We start from the raw sequence: 11,213 nt of genomic DNA, 5'->3' as shown, positions 1-11,213 counted from the left end.
CAATTTTCTTAGTGAAGTTCACAGAAAATATTATATGACATTCTTTTCAACTTTACACCTTTCCTTTCTACTGGCAATTTAACATATATTTGTAGAAGCACATACACACCAACCCAGCCAGGAATTGTTAGGGCTTTATCTGTTGTGTAGAAGGCATTACAGCCCTGGTTTTGCTGCTCTGGGCACTAGAATCTTTACTGCTATTGACAAAGTTCCACCCAGCCTAAGTATCTGCCCATAACAGCACCTGAAAGTATACTTTTTTTTTTTTTTTTTTTTTTTGCTGAGACAGAGTTTTGTTCTTGTTGCCGAGGCTGGAGTGCAATGGCGCGATCTTGGCTCACTGCAACCTCTGCCTCCCGGGTTCAAGCAATTCTCCTGCCTCAGCCTTCCTGAGTAGGCATGCACCACGATGCTTGGCTAATTTCATATTTTTAGTAGAGACAGGGTTTCTCCATGTTGCTCAGGCTGGTCTCGAACTCCTGACCTCTGGTGATCCGCCTGCCTCAGCCTCCCAAAGTGCTAGGATTACAGGCATGAGCCACTGCACCCAACTGAAAATATACTTTATTGGAGGACTTCGTGACAACACCAAATATAGTAGTTGTGAAAGACTCAACCTATACATGTAATGAGAAGTGCACACAGTTTATCACATAGATAGCTTATATATACAGCTAGTTATACACAGTGCTTAAAACTCGTAAACAGAAATGAGCAAGAGATTAATTGCCCCTCTGGTCCATTCTTGGTTCCTTCTATTATTTAGGTTTTGCATATCCTTAGTATGGAACACCTTCTTCTTGACCCCTTCCATGTGTGCTAGAATTGGTCAGGTCTTTGTATTGAGTTCTTATTACTATTTTCAGAAAATTCTAATTCTTTATCACTGTTTTGCCAAGGAGGCTTTGCTTCCTTCCAGTGAGCTTTGCATAATGTTGGCTGCCAGCCTTATTAGGCTGTACTGTGCCCCGGTTCACCCTTTTTTCTAATCCGAGGATTCTGGATTCTAGCCAACAGCATCTAGGCTCTGCTTTCTTTTCTTTCTTTCTTTTTTTTTTTTCTTAAGTTAGGTTGGGGTTAGTTAGAGTATGAGCGGAAAATGAATTATACCACTAGACAGATAGATACAAATGGACTGCTTCTGTCATTCAACTAAACAACCTCTGCTGCAAATGTCTGTGTGTGTTGAGGATGGGGACAGAATATGGAGAGATACCATTTAATTGTGACTTCTGGTATTGGGCACAAATATATGTATTGAAAATTAGCTCTCTGTGAATTGCCAGCGTAAGTTAGTTTCTAAGGACTCTCAGACTTTGAAAGTAGACAAAGCGTTTCTCATTACACTGAATTCTATCCCTGAAGCTGAAGAAAGAAGCATAGGCCCAAGAGAAACTCAAACTTAGAACAAGGAATGTAGGACACTTGGCTCATTGTTAGTTACAGGTTCCACTTAAAAATACAGATGAAAGATAACCTAGGTCCAAATGGCACATTGTAAGCTGAGCCACAGTAAAAATTGTGAACGGTATCACTGACTTGCACATTAAACTATACATAATGCAATGTGTATATGGAGCCCAGTGAAAGATTAGATCTGACTCAGTAATTTCAAACAGTTGGCCTCTTTCATTCTTTAATTATCCTCACCAATTTCAAGAATTAACTTTAACTTTTAATTACGTAAGCTTCCTCTTTTTGGATTTGTGTTACATTTGTAGGCTTATCTAAATGTTAGATCATAGGGATTTGTTTTGTTTTGCTCTGTTTTGTTTTTCTCTTTTTGCTGAATAAGGATATTTGTTCCCAGTTATGATTGTCACAATGACCCTGCCCAAAAAATAATAATATTAGAGGCCATGAAGGTCTCCAACCAGGCTATTGTGGGACCCCTGATGCCAGAGCTAGATTGCCTGGCCAAAAATCATATCTCAACATAATTGGCTGTAGTGACTAAAAGAGAGTGAGAAAGAAAGAAAGAGTCAGCAGGTCTGATAGGAAGGCTTCAGGCATTCATATCTAAATGGTCTCCAAATGTGCCATTTTGCTCATAATGACACAGGATTAGAAGTGAAATATAATTGAGGATTTAGCAAATGTTCAAATAAAAGGTCTTGCCACCCTGTCCTCTCAGTACCTCTTTTCTACCACATATAGATATAAGTGAAATGGAGTTTAAAGGATTAAGAGTGCAAATTTAGCAGAAGTTTGGATGTCTTTTTTCATTTTTTTTTTACCCTTCTCTGCTCATAAGATAATAAACCTTTTGAATAGACTCCCTTGCAATGCTGGCTAAACCACTCTTCTTTTTTCCATTACTTAATGTTTTTAGTCACAGCTTGACCAAATATCTTGACAAAGAGACAGATTTCTGGGAATTACATGAATTTATTCAGAGTGCATCAGTGGTCTTTTGAGGACAGGCAATGCTATCTGAGTGTGACACATTTGACACATGGGGACATGTGATCATTTGCAAAGGAGCTTCAAGGCCTCTGACACGTAAGCACTTGCTTTCTTTTCTCCCTTCTCTTCACTAGCCAAACACTACCACCTGCCTCTTCTCCTAGCCAAATACTCCTTTTGCTCTTCCTACAATTTCCCTTATCTTTATTTCATTTACTTCTTCTTTTCTCTCCACCAGTCATTTCCTCTAGGATTACACTTCCAGGTCTTCCAACTCCAAGTGGTATCTTTCCCTCACTCATCCCTGTGCATTCCCTCTTATTTCTGTATACACAACTCTCATAACAACTCTATCAAATTTATATATTGATTTTTAATATGCTTCTGTCTTTGATTGGTTGTGTTCCTTGGCCTTTATTCACTGGCATTTGTCACCAATAATTAGCATAATGTATAGCATGTAGTAGGCCCTCACCAAATACTTGTTTAATCAGAAAACTCAGATAACTTCAAACTCTACTGGAGCTGTTGTCTTACTTACTTCTCATGCACCCACACTTCCATTAGTGATAGTTCTCCAACTGCCCTGAGCTTAGAGGATAGAACAGGTACCAGTTGGAGGTGCCTACCAGTGTGTATTGAAGACAAGGGTATATCATTTGAATTTTTCTAATACATTGATTATACCTGTATCTTGGTAAGTTGTAAGACACTCTCCTGTATATTTCCTTTTCTTTATGGGCATGCAATCTTGTTCTTTTCTTATAAATCATAGCTACTAAGTTTAATTCATTTGCGCATAAGTGAAAAAACACTGACAAATATTTTCTAAGGTGAACATTTTGATACATTATATTGGTGTCTGCTATTACTACCATAAGAGTTTCTGCACTGAGTGTGACAGTACGTGTGAGGCTGTTTGCATATATATTCAGGCTTGCCCAGGGTATCTTGGATCTTGCCACTTTGGAAACCTAGAACAATTCCAGGATTTGGGGAAGAAGCCCAAAATGGAATATTTGGTATAAACATGATTATCCCTTGCAAATCAATCAGCCATGTGACTTTAGGCAAGTTGTTTAACTTTCCTAAAACTTTCCTTTTTCTTCAAGGGAGGCTAATGGTACTGACTCTACAAAGTTCTAGAAATAATTATGAGGCAAGGCAATGACAAGTTATGAGCCCATTTATAAAGCCGTATGATCAGCCATAGGGTCAATATGAGGAATTCCATGCTGGTGTACAAAAATGGCCTCCTTGTGAAGCACTCTTATCTCATGTTCTGGGGAAGGGAGGAAAGACAGAAACTAAATATTTAGTGGATGCCTATTTTTTCTCTGAAACTAAGTGACAATGAGGCAAATCAATGAGTGTGTGAATGAGGCACTTTTTCTGGGACATTAGGAAATTTCTTGCTGAACTTTCAAGCAATTCTACATAAAGATAGTCTACTTATTAACATGCAGCCTGAAGTTCTAGGTTTTTGTTTTAATTCTTTACTGTGCTAAATATTAGTGCATCCCACCCTAGTACTAATAGTTGCTTAAGTGCTAAATGATGGTAGCTGTGCCCGAGCACTCTATTAAATTTTAAAACTGTTTCTTGATATAAATTTTTTGAAATGTGGCCAGGCACCGTGGCTCACATCTGTAATCCCAGCACTTTGGGAGGCCAAGGAGGGAGGATCACTTGAGCCTAGGAGTTCAAGAGCAGCCTGGGCAACATAATGAGACCCAGCCTCTACAAAAAAATGTTTTAAAGCAGCTGGCATGGTAACACACACCTGTAGTTCCAGCTACTCAAGGGGCTGAGGTGGGAGAATCACTTGAGCCCAGGAGGTTGAGGCTGCAGTGAGCTGTAATCACGCCACTGCACTCCAGCCTGGGTAACAAAGTGAGACCTTGTCAAAAAAAAAGAGGAACTTTTTGAATTTCTTTTTACTTTACGAATGTGTTGGGAAATGCACAGTCAGGTCCTTTAAATGAGAGTGTTGCAATGAGTGCCACTTAGTTACTGATTGGATAGAAGTGGAGCAAATCCAGATGTCGCTATATTCCAAAGTAAGATACTCTAGGCTTGGAACATGAGAGAAAGAAAATGAAATTGACCCCTCCTCTGACCCACTTTCCTTTTGTAACTACTGCTACTTCCTGTTCTCTCACAATAATAGCAAAAGTGTACATATTTTATTCCATGGTGTGGAGGACCTCATGTTTTTCATGTGGATGACTTTTAAAGCTTATTTTCCATTCTATGATACCACAGATTTGTATTCCTCTTCTTTGCATCTCCAACATTGATAACCCTAACTATCTCATTTTGGGTAGAGTTTAGTTTCATTTAGATTGCACCCACAATTACATAGATGGAATTAACAACCTGGAGTTATTTTAAAAAGTTGAAAGATGCAAGGGCATGTGGAGAGGAAACAAAATGAAGGACAATTATTTTTAATCTTATAAAGTTTTGTCACAAATATTTTCCCAAAGAGAACAACATGAACCAACCAAACAGTCCTTAAGTAGAACATAAATTTCCTGGCATTTGCTTCAGCATTTTCAGTTAATAAATGTTCCATGCCTGAAGGTAATATTTTGATAAAAATTTGTTCTTTTATTTCTGTGTATGTATATGTACACACACACACTTGTTATATGTAAGGTGGTATGCTAAACAGCTTGGAAATTAGAAAGATGAATGACATAATCCCTTTCCTCACAGTTACAATTTAGTAGCTTCTCACACCGTTTGCATAAAATGGTTGTTAGAGCCATAGAGTACATAATGTCCTAGTGAAAGAGTAATATGGAAAGAGCAGAAGGTGGAGGTCAGAGCCACAGGGGTCACTCCATGTTTAAAATACAAAATAGAGGGAAAGCCAGTGAGAGAGATAAATGCAAAATGGCTGAAATGATGGAAAGACGATCACTGTAGTGACTGAAATCTGATTAAGAAGAGAGGTTCCAGCAGGATATGGGCATAACAAAGTTTCTGAGGGGCCAAAGAGAATCAAGACTGAGCAAAGTCCATTGCATTCATCTAGTTGGAAGATGCTGTTGTCTTTGAGAAACATGGTTTTTAGAGATCATGAGAATGTAGCTGAGTTGCAGAGGTTGAAGACAGTGTTTGGTGGAGAAATAAATATGATAAGTAGATTATTTGAAAAAGTTTGGTTTTAAGGGGAAAAAATATAGAAGAAGCAGGAATCATCTGATAGAGTAAAGACAAATTCGTACTTTGCTGTGTACATTGGCATAGGTGGGCAGCATAGTTGTAGCACAGATGTAGTTTGGGAGCAGAGTGTTCTGTGTGTGTGAAAGGGAAAAAGAGGGAGGGAGAGAGAGAGGAAAGGAACAGGGAAACTCAAAAGGATGATGGAATGGTTGATGGAGCCAGAGCCTAGAAGTGAAGGGATACAGAGTGAAGATAGAGGTATTTACGTATATTTTAATATTAGCTTTGGAATTACGTAGGGATTCTTAAGAAAAGATCATGACAGGACAGCCACATTTGGTAAAATGTCAGGGCAGCCAGTGCATGGTCCTCCTGGGGCTCCTCAGTTGACGGGTTTAAATCATTTCCTGATCCCCCTGCCCTGGTTTGAGGAATGCATACAGTACGTGAAATGCCTGTGGTATGAGTTGCAATGGGCAATCAACCTGGGTAAATCCAAGATTAATGATTAGTTCTAAAGATCCAGTTGAAGTTCTAGAGTGGGAATTTTCCGTCAAGCAGCTCAGCACAGCTTTATGCCTGTTCCTCTAATAACGATAGGTAACAAATAGCTGTGTGTACACAGCTAGGAGGATAACCAAATCTAGAGTTCTTGAGTCTCATTTAATAAATAAGTATTATGAGTACCAACTGCATATTTCAGGCACTGCATTTGACTCTGTTAAATACTGATTCCTTATGACAGCCACATCAGATAACATTAATCTGTCTGATCAATAAACAGCTTGACTTAGAGAGGTAAAATAGCTTGCCACAGGTTACCCAATTAGTAGGTAACAGCGACAGAATAACAGTGCAGTTAAAATCTTAGACTGGAGACTAATTGCATAAGTTTGAATTTCAGTTCTGCTATGTAAATTTGGGTGAGTACCTTAATTTACCTGAGTCTCGGTCTTTATATCTGTAGAATGGAGCTAATGATATTACTTAATTTGCTTTATGTGAGATTAAATGTACTAATATATGTAAATCACTTACAACAGCATTTGACATATTTGACATACTTAATATATTTGCTACTAATACTATTAGCAACAGCATTCTGATTTTCCAAGTTGAAATTCAGTGTTTTCTTTTTTACTTTGCCATAATTTACAATGTTGTGCTCTGTAAACCATAAATTTCCTGAGGTGTTGTCAGGTTAAAAAAAAATCACTATGGCCCCCAAAAACTTGGAAAATAGAAATGAGACCAGCTTCATCTATATTCTTTACTGCAAATAACTTAGAATTGTAATAGGCTAATATGTACTGGGACTTCCAATTTGGGAATATGACAAAAATAATACTATTTAGCTAAAACATATACAGAACTTATTTTTCCTCTGAAAACACCTATTAATATTTTGATCATTATTTTTCCTGTAGAATACACTTGCAAAAACTGTTACTCTGCACTTTGGCTACACAGCAAACAATATTGAAAAGACCAATCCATGCTTGGCACAAGAATGTGTTCATAGGAAAGCAAAGCTGGAGAAGAACCGATGAGTTTCTGAGGATTGTCGGGGTTTGATAGAGTCTGGCTCAGAAGTAGGGCAGAGAGTGGATTCAAGAGATGGCAAAGAGTAAGAGAGGGAGATGAGAAGGTGAGAAAAGAGATAAAACTATAATATTAAGACCTTGGAGGTAGATCTATTCTTCATAACAAAACCCACTGTGTGTGGGATTGTGTCTTTCAGTTATTTTTAAAGGAAAAAAAAGTCACTGATGTTTAAAAGGCCAAGAAAGTATGAAATCAGAGTTCCAAATAGTTCATCATGTGGCTACTAATGCATTATGTACACCTCATATTTTATACTTTTGCAATAAATAGAATTAGAAGAGAGAAAGGAGAGAGAGAGAAAGAAGTGGGGAGGGTTGACTTACACAAACGTAAGAAGACACAAAAGCAAAACCACTATTTGAATCCTGCTAATTATTGTAATCAAGATATAATAAAACATATTTCTCATTTTTGCAGCACTTCCTTTTCTTTAAGCAGTTGTTTTCTTTGTTTTTGATTCTAGAGTAATTTTTAGATTGAGGAAATGTATTTGAAAGCACTTCACATCAAGAATCAAAAGAATTTGCTTTTTTTTGCATGGTACTGTATGATGTGAAATGAAGATGTTGGTAGTTATGTGAAGAGTTTGGGAATGTATATATTCAAAACAAATCTTCTCAATTCTCTGAGATAATTTTAGCAAATAAGGTAGTGCATAGCTCTGAAAGGTGTTAGTTTATTTTTACGGTCAATCTACTGTAAACAAAAACAATGTGAGGAGCCAGTGACAAATAGGACAACTTTATTTATGTCTTTATTTTCAACAACTACATCTACCCTAGAAATCTTTAGCAATGCCTGAGATATCCAGCCTTCCATTCTTTTGGCAGATGTGCCTATTTTCCTATTAAATAATTTGTTGTCAACATACTCAGTCAGAAAGCAAACAAGCATGGACCGAATCTCTAAAAGCTACAGAATTTAGAAATGACAGATATTTATTGAAGTGTACCAAAAATGAAAGACTTTCCTTCCGTCCTTCCAATAATCCCTTCCTTTTTCCTGATTATCCACTCATCTTATACCAGCTCTGGACCAAGAACTGTGCTGTATACCAAAGATCCAAAAATGAATAAGACTTAGCTCCTCCTCTTAGGAACTCAAAATCTAATAGGGATTATGTCTGATTTAATTCTCTCTACATTTACTGAATGCTGTCTATGCATCAGGCAATTTTCTAGGAGTCTGAGATGCTAGATACTAGTATTTATTATAAAATGCTATAAAGGTTAAAATTAAGGCATCAAAAGTTAAGGAAAAATAGAGAATAAATGCCTAAATTAACTTTGGAAAATCAATAAACTTTACTTTTGAGTTTCAAAAAGGGTATAAGCAAAACACATAGACATCAAAGCGCAAGGTATATTTTGGGAACTGCAAATAGTTCTGTGAACCTGGAAGAAAGGAAAGAATGTGGCAGGAAGTGACAGGAGATGAGGCTGAAGCCCTGGGAGTGGCCAGAGTGGGGCAGCTGATGTGGATTGGGATCTGGCTAGAGCAAAGTATCTTTAGAGAAGGATAAGAATGAAATTCACAATGAGTGAAAGGGATGTAGAAAGGCCGAATGGAGAAGGAAGACTATAGAGAACTACTTGAAAAAAACCTGCCGGGCGCAGTGGCTCACACCTGTAATCCCAGCACTTTGGGAGGCCAAGGTGGGTGGATCACCTGAGGTCAGGAGTTTGAGACCAGCCTGGCCAACATGGTGAAAACACGTCTCTACTAAAAACACAAAAAATAGCTGGGCGCGGTGATGGGCACCTATAATCCCAGCTACTTGGGAGGCTAAAGCGCAGGAGAATCGCTTGAACCTAGGAGGCAGAGGTTGTAGTGAGGTGAGATCGCGCTATTGCATTCCAGCCTAGGCAACAAGAGTGAAAACTCCATCACAAAAACAAAACAAAGGAAAAGAAAAAAATCCTGGCTGTGGAAAAGTGATGGTTACATAGTTGTGTAAATTAAGCTGTGTGGAATAGACGACCCAGATCAGACACAAGAGAGAAGGATGTATTTGAGAGTCATAGACCAAGACAGATCAGGCCTTGAAATCCACAGAGTAGAGATTTGACTTCATGAAGTGGATGACAAGGAACTGTTGGTGGTGTGAGAAGAGTATGGTGGCTCTGAAGTGGGGTACTCTGTGTGTTAGTTAGATTCTTCCCCTGCCCGACGTACACTGGATGAGAGAACAAAGTGTCAGTCAGCAGCCTAACTGGTGCCTGAGAAAGTTGGAGAGAAAACATAATTTGAGCTATCTGCCTAATTAATTCCCCAGGGCAAGCCCAAATAAACCCCTAGGACTGATACTAATCTTTAAATAACATTAACATTGGCTTGTGTCAATTAATTAGGGAATTAATGAGCAATTAAAGTGCCCACTCTTAAACAATTGGTGATTTGTGATGATTACTATGTTGCACGCTATGATGTACCAAAATCGTGAATTTTGAGCACTAAAATATAAAATATTCAAGATAGCAGTAGCCACTGAGAGAAATTTTCTGCCATAAAATTATCATCTGGAAAAAAGTATTTATCCACTTCTCCAATAATTATTACCAAATGTCTTAACACAAGCTTGAAAATAAACCTTCTCCTACTGGCTTAAAATGCATAACTATTTATTTACCCTGAAAGTATAGAAATAAATTTTGATATTATGTGTTTTTCAAAGTTAGGGAAGGACAGAATGATCCTTATCTCTCTCCCCACCAACAAATACATGTACCAATTACTGTATGTCGCTCAAGACTAAATAACATTCAAATAACCGTAGTTTTTAAGAATCAGGCATACACAGACATGTAAGTAAATAACTAATTTAACTGTATGAACTAAAAATGAAATCGCTACTCATGGCCCTGATGGCTCTGAGTTAGACTTTCACTTATGATCTAGGAATTTCACAGCAGGTGAAGCCCTTGCTAACCAACAGAAAAACTGCATGATGTTGTTACTAAAACAATGCGCTTTCAGTATTTTAGACTGAAAAGAAATGTCATGTGTTTACAGTCTCATAGAGAGATAATTACGTGAATAGATCTGCCGTACCGCACCTCCCAGTCACTAACCTGGAGTGATGTACCTGTAATTGCAAAAGGACTGTTTAATAAGACTGCAGAAATCTCTGTTGTCAGTTCCTATAAGATGGCAGGGGTACTTGGAGGTTTGCCCTACTGATTGACTATAACAAATGTCAGGTGACGACTTCGACGTTAAAAAAAAAAAGAATATTTGTTAAAATGTTATGTAGTGAATTTTAAAAATCATGCCAAAATACTTTTGAAAACATTCCTAAAAACGAATATAGAAAATACTCAGGATTAAAAGAAAAGCACTGTGTCGACGTGTACTCAGTTACTAGATTAGGCATCCAAAGTCCTAGGTATTCTCCTAGCCCTGCCCACATTCATTTACGCAATGCATTTTGCTATGTCCTGGGCTTTGATTATAAATTAGTAATACATATGTTTTCTGGGATTAAAAAATATGTTTGGGGATTTAGTCCTTATTTTAATACTCACTCAACTGTAGTTCAGAAAAAGAGGGTCTTTATGGGGGTAGGGGTTAGCCACTTGCACCAGTTACTATGTTAATATGAAGTGATGTGAAAGGTAAGCATATGTATATCCCCGGAACACCTAGAAATTTAGGTCAGTTTGAAGAAACAAGAAAAAAGTAGCCTGTAACTTTTCTGTATGCATTTCTGATTCTTCTCTTACTTCTTTGCCCAGTAGAAGAGGGAATTTAGGAAGAGATAAGTCCCTCTAGGTGGAGGGAATGAAAGAGAACATGGAAATTTAATATAAACATAAAATATAAAAATGTATGAGGTTGCCTCAGTCTCCCTGCAAAAGATAGGACAAAGCTGGTAACAACTGTCTAGGTGGCTAGGAAATTCCACATATGCTTCTAGCAGCAAAACTTCCATAAACTGACCTCACATCATATGATCTCTTTAGAGGTGAAACTCAATTCTTTGTTCCTTTTTCTCCCTTCATCCACTTTGGGGAAACAGGGAACCC

Source organism: Homo sapiens, chromosome 3 (assembly GCF_000001405.40).
Source record: "Homo sapiens chromosome 3, GRCh38.p14 Primary Assembly".
In the NCBI taxonomy this organism is placed as follows: Eukaryota; Metazoa; Chordata; class Mammalia; order Primates; family Hominidae; genus Homo; species Homo sapiens.
The sequence above is the reverse complement of the archived record's forward strand: the minus strand, read 5'-3'. Positions refer to the sequence as shown.